The sequence below is a fragment of the Homo sapiens genome, chromosome 1 (genome assembly GCF_000001405.40).
Source record: "Homo sapiens chromosome 1, GRCh38.p14 Primary Assembly".
NCBI lineage: Eukaryota > Metazoa > Chordata > Mammalia > Primates > Hominidae > Homo > Homo sapiens.
The window spans coordinates 9,375,646-9,392,529 of NC_000001.11; the positions used below are offsets into that span (position 1 = coordinate 9,375,646).

Here is a 16,884-nt window from a genome sequence, read left to right on the forward strand (position 1 = left end):
CAGATTTGCTCTAGAATTAATTGGTCGATGTTCTAAGAGATGAGTACCAAGGGCCAGAAGAAGCCACAGGACCAGGCTCAGACCAGAAACTTGTTGGATAGAGGACTTGGACTCTCTTGATCTCTCCTCTGACAGGCTACAGTGAGTGGGTCCTGGGCCCTGCGAAGGGTGGGCATTGCCCAGGAGTCATTGGAAATAGGGGCTGAGCTCAAGACATCATGCCCCAAGTGCCAAGCATCGCCTCCCCCCATCTTTCACTGAGACAGACGGATGAAGCTTGCATCCCTGCAGCTTCTGCGGCCAGGCCTGCTCTGAATTCATCGTACAAGGAAATGGAATGTGAACCCCAGGCTATTTAAAGAGCCAGGGAGACTGGGGGCTCGGCGGGGGCCCAGCCAAGCCAGGGTGCCTCGGATCGGCACAGGTCTCCTCTGTGCACACGGTTTGATTTACAGGAGGGCTGCGAGCGACTCCAACTTCAGACAGAGAACTATTTGAAGCAGCTGCCAGATGTTGTGTCTGAATTGGGTTTTTACAACTTGCTTACTGGTTAGCAGCCTGCCTCCCGCCAGAGTTCAGCTTGCCCCGGCGGGTTCAGGGTCCTGGCACTGGCCCACAGGCCTTTGCTCGGCAGCCTGATCCCTCCTGCTCAGCCCGAGCCTATTCTGCCTCGAGTGCAGCGGAGGGGGGTGCCTGGTTTCCGAAGCATCCCACCTTCCTGAGGTGGTGATGGGGCCCTGATTTCAGTACATCCTTCAGGCACCCTAAGAATGCTCTGGAATGTTCTGTCTGAGCTCCCTACAGGACCCTCTGGGAGAGGCAGAAATTTCACAGACAGCTTTGCAATGAGGCACCCCTTGGAGCAGATCCTCCATAGCAGGACCGTCCCCAACCCCTTGAGCGTGGCCTGGGAGGTGTGGCACAGACTGGCAGGTTCTTCCATCCCGGTCCCTCCCACTCATTTCACTTTGGCTGATGCCAGCCTCTTTAATTGGACCATGGAAGGTCACAGGGGACCAGGGCTGGGAACTCAGTCCCAGTTCAACTAGGGACTTCTGGAAGTATCCCAATCTTCTGGAAATCCCGGTGAACCAGGGAAGCTCCAGGCAGGCACCAGTGGAACCAACCTGTGGATGGAGGCCACTGTGTCCAGGCCAGACCCACCCTGTCAGGGTCGGTGGGATTTCTCCGAGAGAGACTATAGGGGTTCACTTGGAGTTGGAGGGTGTTTCTCAGCCCCTCCTCACTCTGGGGAGGCCTGTGGCGAGAGGCACATGACTCAGTGTTCACTTCCTGAGGCCACTTGGAATGGACGTCTTAGAAGATTTGCTCGGGAGCAAAGCGGGTAACCAGGGAAGGGGGTGGGGCGGGAGGTGGGGCGGGCAAGGCCCAGGAGGGAGGAGGTTGTGTCATTAATCTTGTTGCATGTGAAAGCACACTTGTGTCCGTCCAGGAATCCCGAACTCGCCAAAGTGGACAGAGTGTTCAGTCCCCTCCCGAAAGCGCCAGAAATGTTTTGTCCACTAGGAAGGAAAACATCCTCTGCTTATGTGCTCGAATTTGGCTCTCCCTCGCAGGAGACACCTCAGAGGGCCCCGATCTGAGCAGCGAGCCAGTGGCTGCAGGACGGGGTGTAGGGGGCGTGCACCCTGCCTCCCTTTGGGGCCAAAGAAGACCCCTCCAGCCTGTGTTTTTGGCAGCCCTAAGGAACTCTTTCTGCACTACCCAGCCCCAGCCCCGGCTCCCTTTTTTTGCTTCTGAATCCTTCTGAGAATCAGAAAGAGAGGAGATCATGAGCAGGACGCCCTCTCCGAAGAGCCCAGAAATGGTGGTGGAACTTAGCAAGCTCCCAGGCTGGCCTGCTGCAGGGGTGAAGGCTGCAGGAGTGCACAGAAATGCAGGCCAGGGCCCAGGTGATCTGGGGTTTGGACTCAGGACACCAGCCACTGCTGGTCCCAGGACCCTGGACTAGGGAGCCTCAATTTCCCCTGCCTTCAAGTGGGAATAATGACACCTTCCAGCCAAGCTTGTGGCGTTGTAAAGATCAAACGAGGTCTGTGTATGGGGCAATGCCTTGGGAGGCTTCAAAGCCCACACTGCCCAAGGGTTTTTTTGTTTTTTTGGGGGGACACAATTTCACTCTGTTGCCCAGGCTGGAGTGCAGTGGCGCAATCTCAGCTCACTGCAAACTCTGCCTCCCGGGTTCAAGTGATTCTCGTGCCGCGTCCTCCTGAGTAGCTGGAATTACAGGTGCCCGCCACAACGCCCGGCTAGTATTTGTATTATTAGTAGAGATGGGGTTTTGCCATGTTGGCTAGGCTGGTCTCGAACTCCTGACCTCAAGCAATCCGCCTGCCTTGGCCTCCCAAAGTGCTGGGATTACAGGTGTGAGCCACCGCACCCGGCCCCAAGGTCTTAATCTAATAAAATTTGTTTATGGGAAAGAGGGAAAGATAAGCATCCCGAGGCACGTCTATGCCTTCTGGAGAGACCCCTCCTTGTGGCCCAGCAGCTTCTCCTCCTGGGTCTCCTGCAGCCGTCCCTGGACGCTGGGGGCCCTTCTGAGCAACCCCACCCCCAGCTTGCTGGAAGGATGAGCTGGGGATGCCGTTTCCCCCGAGGGAAGCCCCCAGGCCGAGGCAGAAGCCCAGCCCAGACACCGCTTTGGAGGACAGACCTTGAGGATGTCCTGGCCACTTACGAGCCAGCAAGCGCCTTTCCCTTTCGGGGCCTAGCCCCCAAGTCTGAGAGGTCCTGTCAGGGTGGGGCATACAGGTGCTGCTGCAGACCCACAGTCTCCATCGTCCCATTTGGCAAACATATCATGACCCTTTTTTCTGTGCCAGATACATGTGGACATCAAGATTCAGACTCAGGGCTGGGCGCGGTGGCTCATGCCTATAATCCCAGCATTTTGGGAGGCCGAGGCGGGCAGATCACCTGAGGCTGGGAGTTCAAGACCAGCCTGACCAACATGGCAAAACCCCGTCTATCCTAAAAATAGAAAAATTAGCCAGGCCTGATGGCATGTGCCTGTGATCCCAGCTACTTGGGAGGCTGAGGCCGGAGAATCGCTTGAACCCAGGAGGCGGAGGTTGCAGTGAGCTGAGATAGCACCACTGCACTCCAGCCTAGGCCACAGAGCAAGACTCTGTCTCAAAAAATATATATAAAACATAAATAAGTAAAAAATAAAAGATTCAGACTCGGAAAACCAGGCTTCTGAGCAAGGAGTCCAGCGCGGGGCACAGACCAGGAAACATGGGAGAAGAGGTCTCAAGTGATGCAGAGGAGGGAGCGATAAACTTTGCCAGGCAATCAGGACAGGGATGTGCTAGCAAGGTTTTGAAGGATGAGTAGGAGTTTGCCAGGGGAGGAAAGTGAGCTGATTTGTTTAGGTTCCTCTGTAAAGTGGGGACCTTGCTGGATGGCTTTTTGTAAAGTACTGAGAACAGGGCCTGGCACATGGTGCCATTTAAGATGATGATAGCAGTAATAACACACTATCTAAGCCCACAGCCTCTCTGCCTCCTATGGGCAGCACCTTGAAGGTGCCTGAAACCCAGAACTTCAGATCTCCAGGGTCATTTATTCTGTTTAAGTTCAGAGGTTCTTCTGCCTCCAGGCAGCTCCTGGTCTGGGCCCTGACTCTGAATTCCCACTGGGTGCTCCAGTTGTGAAACCCACTAGCAGTCTATATCCCAAGTGTTTTCCCTGGAGAGGCCAGCCCCAGCTGCTCACAGGAAGAACCTGAGTTGGGCGTGGTGGCTCACGCCTGTAATCCCAGCACTTTGGGAGGCCGAGGCATGCGAATCTCTTGAGCTCAGGAGTTGGAGGTCAGCCTGAGCACCATGGCGAAACCCTGTCTCTACCAAAAAACAAAAACTTTTCCGGGTGCGGTGGTGCATGCCTGTGGTCCCAGCTACTCAGGAGGCTGAGGCAGGAGGATCGCTTGAGTCTGGGAGGCGGAGGTTGCAGTGAACCAAGATTGTGCCATTGCACTCCAGCCTGAGCAACAGAGCGAGACCCTGTCTCAAAAAGGAAAGAAAGGAAGGAAGGAAGGAAGGAAGGAAGGAAGGAAGGAAGGAAGGGAGGAAGGAAGGAAAGAAAGAAGAAAGAAAGGAAAGAAAGAAAGAAAGAAAGAAAGAAAGAAAGAAAGAAAGAAAGAAAGAAAGAAAGAAAGAAAGAAAGAAAGAAAGAAAGTCGGAGTTCTTGGAGGCATGCTGACCAAGACAGGTTAAAACCTTTTTCTTTTTAAAATAAATAAATAAATAAAATTTAAAAAGAAGAAGCCAGGCATATTGGCTCACACCTGTAATCCCAGCATTTTGGGAGACCAAGGCAAGTCGAGACCAGCCTGGCCAACAACATAGTGAAACCCCGTCTCTACTAAAATACGAAAATTAGCTGGGCATAGTGGCGGGTGCCTATAATCCCAGCTACTCGGAAGGCTGAGGTAGACGAATCGCTTGAACCCGGGAGGCAGAAGTTGCCGTGAGTGGAGATTGCGCCACTGCACTCCAGCCTGGGCGACATGGCAAAACTACATCGAAGAACAAGAAGAAGAAGAAGAGGAAGAAGAAGAAGAAGAAGAAGAGGAAGAGGAAGAGGAGGAGGAGGAGGAGGAGGAGGAGGAGGAAGAGGAGGAAGAGGAGGAAGAGGAGGAAGAGGAGGAGGAGGAGGAGGAGGGAAGAAGAAGAAGAAGAAGAAGAAGAAAAGAAGAAGAAGAAGAACAACAACAACAACAACAACGCGGGCCTCTCTGGGTGGCTCCCTTTGGTTTTTCATTTTTCTGGGAGTAGCCACAGTGGCTGCTTGGAGCCCACTCAATGCCATGTGGGGCGGCTAGCCCCAGAGTGTCCTGGATCCCAGACCTTGTGTGTGCCTGGAGATGAGCCCCTCAGGCACTCTGAGTGTGCGGTGGGCCAGCCTGGAGATGCTGTACAATGGAGCATTGGCAGTGGATGGGAGCAGGACTCAGCACCTCCCAGGCTCCCGAACGGCCAAGAGCAAACCCAGACTGCCATCCTCCTGAATTCATTTCCTGGGAAGGATCCCAGGAGGAGCTGGAGTTTGCTCCTCCCAAGAGTAGTAAGTTCAGAAAAAGAGATCCAGGTAGAAGACCTAGGACACGGGTAGAAGACAGGGCTATAGTTCCGCCACTCATCTGTGGGCCTAGGAAAATGACCGCACCTCTCTGAGCCTCCGAACCTGCCCTCCCAAACAGGCATGATTATAATATTCACATCTTGCCAATGACATAATTCTGAGAACTCACCCTGTCTAGCAAAAGCACTTTGCATGCATTAATGCATGTAATCCCCTACCAGCTCTCCGTGGCAGGTGCTGCTGTGACCCCACAGGCTCAGAAAGGTTCATTCGCTTGCTCAAGGTCACACAGATGGAACTGAAAACCAGGCTTCACTGGCATCAAACCCTGAGGTCTTGACCCTATGCTATGCCACCTTCCTCAGCAGATCCCAGGCAGCTTGCAGGCAGTCAAGGGCTTCCTGAGACCCAGAAGTCTTGCTCTTATTCCTTCAGCACTCACTCACCCTTGCTCTGTGCAGGACAGTGTATTGGGTTCTGAATGTGGCCCCTAGAGACAGAGTGAACTCTGCCCTGGGGCTTTCCTGCCACAGGAATGGGAGGGGTGGTGCTGTGTCCTCTGGTCCCTTGCTTGATCCCGGCACATAGTAGGCGTTCAATAAATGCACATGGGCTGGGCTCCGTGGCTCACGCCTATAATCCCAGCAGTTTGGGAGGCCAAGGCAGGCAGATCACTTGAGGTTAGGAGTTTGAGACCAGCCTGGCCAACATAGCAAAACCCTGTCTCTGCTGAAAATACAAAAAAATTAGCTGGCCCTGATGGCAAACACCTGTAGTCCCAGCTACTCAGGAGGCTGAGGTGGGAGAATCGCTTGAACCTGGGAAGCAGAGGTTGCAGTGAGCTGAGATCACACCACTGCACTCCAGCCTGGGCAACAGAGCAAGACTCCAACTCAAAAAAAAAAAAAGCATGTTGGATAAATAAGAAAAGAGGATGGGACAGGAGCAGCTCAGCTGAATGGAGGAAGGCAGGGCTGCAAACTCGCTCTAGAGGACCTCAGAAAAGAACCCTGGGCTTTGGGCCGGGCGCAGTGGCTCACGCCTGTAATCCCAGTACTTTGGGAGACTGAGGTGGGTGGATCACCTGAGCTCGGGAGTTCAAGACCAGCCTGGCCAACATGGTGAAACACCATCTCTACTAAAATTACAAAAAATTAGCCAGGTGTGGTGGCAGGCGCCTGTAATCCCAGCTACTCGGGAGGCTGAAGCAGGAGAATCACTTGAACTGGGGAGATGGAGGTTGCAGTGAGCCGACATCGCGCTATTGTACTCTAGCCTGGGCAACAAGAGCAAAACTCCATCTCAAAAAACCCTGGTCTTTGCCAAAGATGAAGACTAAGGAGGCCCAGGCCAAGGGAGGAGGCCAGGGGGCAGGTTAGGATGGAGGACTCCACACTGAAAGCCAGGGCCGCCTTCCGGGCGATGCAGAATGAACTGGCACCTCCAGCCAGGGCCAGGGTGAGGATGGGGACGGGACATGCACCAGGTATCCAGAAGGACCACATTCCTCTCTCCCTTGGCGCAAAGGAGAGGCTGTCTTTGAGTGCTGGGCTCGCCATGCCTGCAGAGTTCACCCAGCATGGGCTCTGCTGCTGGCCTGTCTTCTTGTTCTCAGGAGAAGCCAGGACAGGACTCAGGCGTTCAGACCGCAGCCGGCGCTCCCTGGACACTAGGCACACTCCACCCCAGGCAAGCCTCGGGACCTTGCAGGGGAGCTGCTGCTGTACCTGTTTCTCAGAAGCAGAAACAGAGGCTCAGAGGGGCACCGTGACTTTCTGCTAAAGGACAGAGCTGCAGCCCAGCGCTCCCCTTCTGCTGTGCTGGTTCCCGGGGGGAGCGCTGTCTCCCGACCAGACCTGGGTCCCTCTTCGTGCTGCCCAGGCAGTGTCCGCACAGAAGCCTTCACTGCAGCTGCTTGGCCCCTTGGGAAGGGCTAGGTCAAGGCCATCCTTGCTGCCTTCTCTTCCTTTTCTTTCCCAGGAATTGACTTTTCTGTTTGGAGCTGAGAAACGGGTCCCTTGAGGATGCCAGAAGCAAGGGGATCTTCCCAGCCGACCTCCTCCTCTTGCGTTGCTCATGCAGGCATTGAACAGTTTCGCTCGTTCCCCATGGGTCACCCTCGGAGGCAGGCTCTGAAGGTAGGAGGCAGCGCGATGGAGGGAAAGGCAGGGTCACACTGGCTGGCATCAGTGATGCCCTTGTGTGTGCTGGCACTGCCTAACCTCCTTTAGCCCCTCATCCCTGCAGTCCTCACCCTGAGACAGAGAGTCTGTGCTTATCTCCACTTTACAGATGAAGACACCGGGACTCAGGGCAGCTAAATGCACACTGAGGCCACAGGTCAAGCCCAAGTCCATTGGGCTCCCACGCATGCTGTGCTCAGCCCCACAGTCCCCGCCTCCCGGGAATTCCAGGAAAGGGAGGGAGACATAGAGTGGCCACAGCCCATGGGCTTCCAGGACCCCGGCCTGGGGTGCCAGCTGCCAGGGCTTCCCCGAGGGGGGACTCTGGGATGGATTTCCCAGGGGGGACCTGCGGGGACCTTGTGCAGAGCAGATGGCGCGGGTGTTCAAGGAGGGGAAGATGGGCCCTGGGGAGGGAGGAAAGCCACCTCCAGGCTCGGGGCTGCAGACCAGAGGGGTGGGAACTGGCAAGGGGAAGGCTGACAGCAAGGAAGCCTGGGCCCAGGGGTCCCCCCTTCTCTCACAGGCATCGGGCAGCTCTTTCACTAAGAGAGTGTAGCCTAGGCAACATGGGGAGACCCTGTCTCTACAAAAAAACGAAAAATCAGGCTGGGCGCAGTGGCTCACACCTGTAATCCCAGCACTTTGGGAGGCCGAGGCAGGAGGATCGCTTGAGCCGAGGGGTTCAAGACCAGCCTGAGCAACATAGTGAAACCCCATCTCTACTAAAAATACAAAAATTAGGTGGGCATGGTGGTGCATGCCTGTAGTCCCAGCTACTTGAGAAGCTGAGGCTCACTTGAGCCTGGGAGGCAGAGGTTGCAGTGAGCCAAGATTGTGCCACTCCACTCCAGCCTGAGCGACAGAGTGAGGCTTTGTCTCCAAAACAATAAAGCTAAAAGAAAAAAAAAGAACTAAAAGAGTGACGCCCAGATTTGGGCATCTCCAGTATTTCTCACTGGGACTCCCCCGCCCTTTTTTTTTTTTTTTTTTTTTGAGACAGGGTCTCACTCTGTCTCCAGGCTGGAGTGCAGTGGTACAACTGTGGCTCACTGCAGCCTTTCAGCCTCTGCCTCCCAGGCTCAAGCAATCCTCCCGCTCAGCCTCCCAAAGGGCTGGGGTCACAGGTGTGAGCCACCACACCAAGCCAGTCTGTGTTTTCATGTCCCTCTTCCCCATGTCTGTCTGGAAGCCTCTGCCTGGCACCTTGTAAGTAAGCACTCATTACACATTTGTAGATTGATTGGGCCAAAAAATGAGCAAGTGGATGGATAAGTGAACAAAGTGGTAAGTTGACTAGGACACGGGACTCCTCGATCAATCCCCAGGGTCCAGCTCCCCCATGGAGCCCAGATAACTGGGGTAGCCAGCAATGGCCCCCGTGCCAAGGGCAGAAAGCCAGGGAGAGGGTGGCAGCTGCTTGTCCTGGCTTCCAGGCCAGGGGAGACGGAGCTTCCCATCGAGTCTAAGCAGTTCTGGATGGTCTGTCCCAGGCAAGGTGGCCCCTCCATCCCACCCTCCTCCTCCTCTCCCATGCCAAGCAGATCTGCGATGGGGAGGGGCCATCCCGCCAGTCCCCAGCTCAGGACAGGGCTCTTCAGATGGAGGGGTGCCTTCAGGCCTTCACGGAAGGGGCTATACACACCGGAGGCTTCTCTCCTTCCCCTCGCTCTCTCCCCTTACACCAACAATGTCTCTGCTGAGGGGGCACCAGCAGGACTGTGACCAGCAGGACTGTGACCAGCAGGACTGTGATGGCTTTCCCAGGGCCACATCTCTCCTTGTTTTCTCTGAAAACATTCCCGTGTCCAAAACGAATGAGGACAATTGACCTAGCCAATGTTACCTTGGTCTTCCTGGCCCAGTGTCGGTTCCCAGCTTATTTTTACGAGCTGTTTAATCTGCACACTGTCCTCTGTTCTCAATAAATGGGGCTGCGCATTCCAGGATGGCCTCGAATGATAACACCAGCCGTCTAGACGGAGGCCAGCACACTGACACTATCATAAATAAAAATAGCTTTGTGTTCCAGTCTCTTGCCAGAGCCTGGGAGGGGCCGGCACATTCCCTGCAGGCTGGCTGTGCCAGAGCTCACCCAGTCTCCCTGCCCGGCTCTGCCCCGCACCCCATGCCCGGGGGAGCCTGGCAGAGCCCGCACCACCTGTGGGCAGGAGGGAGGAGTGCCGTGTTCCTGGAATGGCCCACCGGGGCCGCATTGGTGAAGTATCCGTCGGATCTCTCCTTGAAGCTCCCCACTCCACGTGGCCTGAGGAAGCTGCTTGGGCAATGGATACCCAGGCAGTCATCTGGGGCTTTACTTTGTTTTTCTTTTTGTTTTTTTAAGGCAGAGTCTCACTCTGTTGCCCAGGCTGGAGTGCTGAGGCGTGATCTCAGCTCACTGCAGCCTCTGCCTCCCAGGTGCAAGCAATTCTCGTGCCTCAGTCTCCCACGTAGCTGGGACTACAGGCGTGCACAACCATGCCCAGCTAATTTTTTATATTTTTAGTAGAGATGGGGTTTTACCATGTTGCCCAGGCTGGTCTCGAACCCCTGGCCTCAAGTGATCCACCTGCTTCAGACTCCCAAAGTGCTGGGATTACAGACGTGAGCCACCACGCCCGGCCTTGGGGCTTTAACTTTGAACTCCAAAGTCAGGGCGTTACCCACTGTTCCTGGGCCCCGCCTGCCCTGGGATAGGCTGCAGGACCCAGACCCGGGACTGCCTGGGATTACACCCAAGACAAAAGGTGCTCAGCCCAAGAAATGAAGGCTCACAGTGGAGATTTTCAGTTGCTCGCCCCTCCTCTCATGGTCCTCGCTCCCTCCATTGCTCATTCACTGACTGTTCCTTTATTTGCTCCTTGAACGCTGAATGCCTGCCCTTGAGGAGCTGGATAGGGTGGGCTCAGGTCTCAGGGCAGTAGACAGGCGGAGGGAGTGGGGTGTCCCCTGAGCTCAGTGGCCACAGTGCTGCTACACACGTTATGTGGGTGTGCCAGGGAGTGCAGGGTGTGCTGGCATCTCCCTGTGTGTCCAGGCCAGTGTGGAGCTTCCTGCTCCAGGCCCCAGGCACAGGCCCAAGTCTCCACACTCACCCACATGCTCTCAATCGATTAGTTTACATCTACACCGAGAATGGCGCCCTGGTGGGTGAGATACCCTCGTGCAGTACACAACCTGAATACCTGTTCAAGGCAGCCCCGCACCACCTTCCCTCCCTTCCCCATTCGGATGGAGTCTCGTGAACAAAAGTCCTGGCTGCTCTTTGGGTCAGTAGAGTCTTCATTTCGGCCTCTCATATGGGTGCGGGGAGCCACAGGGGACAGTGGGTGAGCAGAAGAAGGAGATTTACACACAACGAAGAGGATTCTGTAAGATGGAACCGGCTGAAGGTGGGGAATAGGGCCGTGGGGTGGATATGACTCAGCACACCGTATGTGCCCTACAGATGGGGTGGAGCTTCTGGTTTCATTACGACTGACCAGGGGACCAGGTCCCTGCCATGCAGGCCTCTAATCCAGTGCTCCGGCCCATCCTGGAAGGGAGGCTTCCCGAGTGGGACCTGGTAACACCACGCTGACTCCCTGATCCACAGCCCTGAGGCTCTCCAAACCCTGCCCCCCATGTCACAGAGAGCAGGGCCCTTGAGGGCCAAGCCAGAGGAAAACGGGGGCCACGGGCTGACCCTCGGAGGGCCAACGCCAGCACAGCACATCCCGAGAAGCCCCTGAGCCCCTCCCCCGCTCAACAACAGCCAGGAAGACGCAGGCGTCCTTCTGTCGGGATCTCTGCTGACCTTCTTTATCTAAATGGCTTATTTATTTGTTATTTATTTTGAGACAGAGTCTCGCTCTGTTGCCCAGACTGTAGTGGTGCAATCTCAGCTCGCTGCAACCTCTACCTCCTAGGTTCAAGCGATTGTCCCATCTCAGCCTCCCGAGTAGCTGGGACTACAGGGGTGTGCCACCACACCTAGCTAATTTTTGTATTTTTAGTAGAGTCAAGGTTTTGCCATGTTGGCCAGGCTTGTCTTGAACTCCTAACCTCAGGTGATCCACCCACCTCAGCCTCCCAAAGTGCTGGGATTACACGTATGAGCCACTGCACCCAGCCTAAATGGAATCTTTAGATCCGAATACTCGGTAAGGAATTCCCAAAATCACACCAAGCAGATCTGCAATGGGGAGGGGCCATCCCGCCAGTCCCCAGCTCAGGACAGGGCTCTTCAGATGGAGGGGTGCCTGCAGGCCTTCATGAAAGGGGCTATCCACACTGGAGGCTTTTCTCCTTCCCTTCACTCTCTCCCCTTACACCAACAGTGCACAAAGCAAGAAGAAAATGCCTCTCTGCCCAAGTATTCAATAGTACTGATGTTAGAAGAGGAGCGAGTGAAAGCCTCCTGTGGCCCCAGCTTCTACCCACGTCGTGACACAGAGACTGATCACCAGGCCAGGTGTCCCCTCACCTGTGGGGGCCGTGGAACCAGCTTTGCTGCGCCCCCAGCTTCCTGCCCCACCAAATGTCTCCCCGTCCCAGCTGCGAGGAGGGGAGTCGGAGAAAATACTGGGAGATGCAAGTGGGTTACGAAACAAGGAAGGGCGAAGAAAAGAAGGGAAGACCAGCCGTTCATCCCTCCTCCCCAGGGACAGGAATGGAGGGAAGAATGGGGGTGAAGATGGCCCCTCTAGAAAGGACCAGGACCAGGGCAGGACCAAACCGGCAGGTCTCTTGACTTGTTGCCAACCCTCCCTTCCCCAACACACGGGAAGAGCTAAAACAGAAGCAGAAGGGAAGAATGAAGAAGAGACCAGAGCATTTCAATACACAGGCCTGAGCATTTTACATTTGAAAATGATGGGGGCCGGGCGCAGTGGCTCACGCCTGTAATCCCAGAACTCTGGGAGGCCGAGGCCAGTGGATCACTTAAGGTCAAGGGTTCGAGACCAGCCTGGCCAACATGGGGAAACCCCATCTCTACTAAAAATACAAAAAAAAATTAGCCGGGCATGGTGGCACACACCTGTAATCCCAGTTACTTGGGAGGGCTGAGGCACAAGAATCGCTTGAACCCAAGAGACAGAGGTTACAGTGAGCCGAGATTGCACCACTGCACTCCAGCCTGGGTGACAAAGTGAGACTCTGTCTCAAAAAAAAAAAAGAAAAGAAAATGAAAATGATAGGAAAATCTGTGAGTCAAAGAACAGGGAGAGTAGTTTGACCTTGCACAGCTGGCAGGCAGGGACTGGAGGAAAAATCAAAAGACTCCAGGCTATTCCATAAACCAGCTCCGAAAGCCCCACGCAAAGCCCCCCAGAACACTCCACCTCATTTAATGCTGACAGCACTCCTACGAGGTTGCAGTTCTGTCCTCTTTTTTATAGAGGGGGAAACTGAGGCACAAAAGGGGAAAGGTTTGACCAAAGCGTGACTCACAGCTGTCAGGAGGCAGGGCCAGGGTTCAGACAGAGACTGTTCTGACTCCGAGCCATGCCTTGTCCCCTCAGCCTCTCTGTGCCCCGCGCTGCCTGGCACTGTGTTAGCTCAAGACGTATTTATTCAATGCACGATCTGGAATAAACAAAGCCCTCCCAGCTCGCACATCAGCCACTCAAACAAGCATTTGTTGAGGATGTTGAGGGTGACAAAGGCAGCGTTTGGCCAGCCGCTCTGACTTCCTGGGCCTCCAGGCCGTCCAGGCACAAGCTGATCTGAGAGGAGACAAAAGGGAGACGTCCACAGACAGGATAAGTGTCGAGTGCCCCACTCTGCTGCACCCCTGGGGAAGCTCAGAGGCTGGGGTTTTAGATTTGGGCGTGGCACTTGCTGAATATCTCCTAAGGCCTGGGTAATCTGCTAACATCCGAAGTCCCACTAGAGCCTCTCAAAAAAGGGGAGCAAGTCCCCTTTTTACAGCAGGAGAAGCTGAGGCCCAGAGGGTTCAAGGGCGGTCCAGGGTCACATAGCCTGATTATGGTAGGCAGGGTTCCTCCAGAGCCTCCGTGGGGAGCATCTGGGGCCACAGTGCCTGAAGCTGGAAGGGCACACTTTGAAGCAGCAGCTTGGCCAGCCGGGGTGGAGCTGAGTCATCTGTCCCTGGGGAAGATTTATGGTGCTGAAGTCTTTGGGACCAGGTCGGGGGTGAGGACTAAATTCTGACCTTTTTTCTCTCTTGCCCAAATTCCTACCTAAGGGGCCTAGGGAGTGTGAAAGGAAAATAAATCTTGGGATCCCAAAATCACTAAGCTAAAGGGAAAAGTCAAGCTGGGAACTGCTTAGGGCAAACCTGCCTCCCACTCTATTCCTTAAAAAAAAAAGCTACTAAGATTAAAACAAAAAAAAAAACAAAAAACTAAATGGCCGGGCACGGTGGCTCACGCCTGTAATCCCAGCACTTCAGGAGGCTGAGGTGGGTGGATCACAAAGTCAGGAGATCGAGACCATCCTGGCTAACATGGTGGAACCCCATCTCTACTAAAAATACAAAAAATTAGCTGGGCGTGGTGGCGGGCACCTGTAGTCCCAGCTACTCGGGAGGCTGAGGCAGGAGAATGGTGTGAACCCAGGAGGCGGAGCTTGCAGTGAGCCGAGATCGCGCCACTGCACTCCAGCCTGGGCGACAGAGTGAGACTCCACCTCAAAAAAAAAAAAAAAAAAAAAGGCTACATACCTCCCTCACAATTTGTCCACAAGGAAATTCCTTGTGGACAAAGGACAGACCGAACTCAGTCATCCTCTGCTCACTGAGATCAATGCATATCTGATTGCCTCCTTTGGAAAAGCTCATCAGAAACTCAAAAGAATGCAACCATTTTTCTGTTAATCTACCTGTGACCTGCAAGCCCCCTCCCCACTTCGAATTGTCCCACCTTTCCAGACCAAACCAATGTACATCTTACATATATTGACTGATGTCTCATGTCTCCCTAAAGTGTATAAAACCAAGCTGTGCCCTGATCCCCTTGTATAATAAACATGTCATCAGGACCTCCTGAAGCTGTGTCACAGGCGTGTCCTAACCTTGGCAAAAGAAACTTCCTAAATTAAGACTTGTCTCAGGTACCCTTTGGTTTACAGAAGTCACACCCTAGAAACCGTAGAATCTCATCAGATGGGTTTTAGTTCACCTGATCTAATGTGGCTCACTTTTCAACCTGACTCCAACGTAACATCGCATGACAGATAAAGAAACAGATAAAGAAGGAAATCCGTCAAGCGTGATGACTCATGTCTGTAATCTCAGCACTTTGGGAGGCTGAGGCAAGAGGATCGCTTGAGCCCAGGAGTTCAAGACCAACCTGGGCAACATGGTGAAACCCTGTCTCTATAAAAAAAAATAAAATAAATAGCCAACATGGTGGTCCCAGCATGTCTGTAGTCCCAGCTACTCGGGGAGGCTGAGGTAGGAGGATGGCTTGAGCCTGGGAGGTGGAGGCTGCAGTGAGCCCTAATCACCCACTGCCCTCCAGCCTGAGTGGGGAAATTTGCATCTGTAAAGAATCTCTATTAACATAACTAAGTTTTTACCTCCTTCTAGGCCCTCCCAATCCTGAAGAGATTAACTGAGAGTCTTGCACATTTTAAGGATCTGAGTAGGAAACACTTGCCATCTACTGTCTCTAAGGGCACTCACCCAGGAGACTTTATTAGAAGCTTGGTCTCCACAACCCCTTACCTTGACCCAGACACTCCTTTCTACTGATTCCAGGTTTTTCGATAATATAACTCTTTCAACCAATTGCCAAGCAGAAAATCTTTGAATTCACCTGTGACCTGTAAGCCACGCCCCCACTGCCCCACACTCCCACCCTCCAAGTTGTCCACCTTCCTGGACTGAACCAATGCATACCTCACGTGTGTTGCTGATGCCTCTTATGTCTCCCTAAAACACAGAAAACCAAGCTGTAATCCAAACACCTTGGGCACAGGTTCTCAGGACCTCCTGGGCTATGTCCTGGTCTTGGTCCTCACATTTGGCTCAGAACAAATCTCTTCAAATATTTTACAGAGTTTGGCTTTTTCAACAGGGGGACAATTCCCATGTGGTAGGCTGTGTCTTCTCCATCCAACACAAAACATCCAGGTGCTTGCCTGTCCCTCCCCAAGCAGCTTCTGACTGTCCCCTTACCCCTCCTCAGCATGGGAGGACCCCTGCTGAAACCGCCTTTGCAAAATTATGACTGAGACAGTGCAAGAGATCTAACTTAACCAACTCCATCTTGCTTCTAGCCTCCAAGCTGTCCTTGTTCATTCCTGGGCGTAGGCTGAACTAACGTTGAGAGAAATTTGGTTTATAGTTTAAACAAAGATGGTAACAGCCCTTTCCCAAAGCAGACCTCCTTCTTGCCTGGGGACTAGATTGCCTTTGCAGGACTAACATTAGGCACAAGATTAGAAATGATGGTTTAGGAGTCATGCACCTGGAGTCTACAAGATTCTGTCCCTTCCTAAACTGCTCCTAAGATCAGCGTTTGAACCCAGGCACGGTAGCTCATGCCTGTAATCCCAGTACTTTGGGAGGCTGAGACAGTTGGATCACCTGAAGTCAAGACCAGCCTGGCCAACACGGCGAAACCCCGTCTCTACTAAATATACAAAAATTAGCCCAGCATGGTGGCAGGCACTTGTAATCCCAGCTATTTGGGAGGCCGAGGCGGGAGAATCGCTTGAACCTGGGAGTTGGAGTTTGCAGTGAGCAAAGATCTTGCCACTGCACTCCAGCCTGGGCAACAGAGCAAGACTCTGTCTCAAAAAAAAGAAAAAATCATCAATGCTTGAAATATTTTGCAGACTCTGCACTTGATGAATTAGCTGGCACCAGCCAGATCGATAAGCGGGCTCATCTGATGTTGTGGCCCCCACCCAGGAACTGACTCAGCGTAAGAGGACAGCCTTAACTCCCTGTGATTTCATCTCTGGCCAACCAACACTCCTGGCTCACTGGCTTCCCGCACCCACCAAGTTATCCTTAAAAACTCTGTTCCCTGAATGCTCAGGGAGACTGATCTGAGTAATAACAAAACTCTGGTCAGCACAGCCGGCTCTGCGTGAATTACCCTTTCTCTATTGCAATCCCCTGTCTTGATGAATCGGCTCTGTCTAGGCAGCGGGCGAGGTGAACCCCTTGGACAGTTACACTGCGACATGGAAGAAGAAGCCCCACTCCCACGTCCACTCTCTCCCTTCCCCTCAGTTGACCAATTACTCTGTCTGCCTTCCCTGGCACACTAGAGCTTTGGAGCCCAGGCTGCACCTGTTCTTCCCAGAAGTCTCGGAGGTACCCTGATGGTCCTCTGGGAAACCACCTTTCAGGCGTGTGACCCAGTCCACCAGTGTCTTCCCTGAGACCTTCACAGGCACCGTGGGGAAAGCAACTCTCTTTCTGCTGAGACTCTGGAGCTGGTAGGATGAGGGTCTGGAGACACCGGGAGGCATCATAGCCCCACTGCTGCAAAAGGAACCAGCTCCTGGGGGAGACAGGGCATTGAGACAGGGGATGCGCCTATTCCAGGCCGGCATGTGCACACCTGAATCCAGAGATGCCTCAGGCCAGGCCACCCCCAGGACCTTGAGGCACAGGAGCCGATACATTCTC

General features: G+C 53.8%; 2 annotated features.

Annotated features, from left to right (window-relative positions):
• Nucleotides 9,545-10,178: an enhancer, noted in NCBI's record as "H3K4me1 hESC enhancer chr1:9445249-9445882 (GRCh37/hg19 assembly coordinates)". NCBI's record gives its function as "activates a minimal SCP1, AML or CMV promoter by ChIP-STARR-seq in naive H9 embryonic stem cells {active_cell/tissue: H9 hESC(naive)}" and the evidence as "EXISTENCE:reporter gene assay evidence [ECO:0000049][PMID:30033119]".
• Nucleotides 10,179-10,812: an enhancer, noted in NCBI's record as "H3K4me1 hESC enhancer chr1:9445883-9446516 (GRCh37/hg19 assembly coordinates)". NCBI's record gives its function as "activates a minimal SCP1, AML or CMV promoter by ChIP-STARR-seq in naive H9 embryonic stem cells {active_cell/tissue: H9 hESC(naive)}" and the evidence as "EXISTENCE:reporter gene assay evidence [ECO:0000049][PMID:30033119]".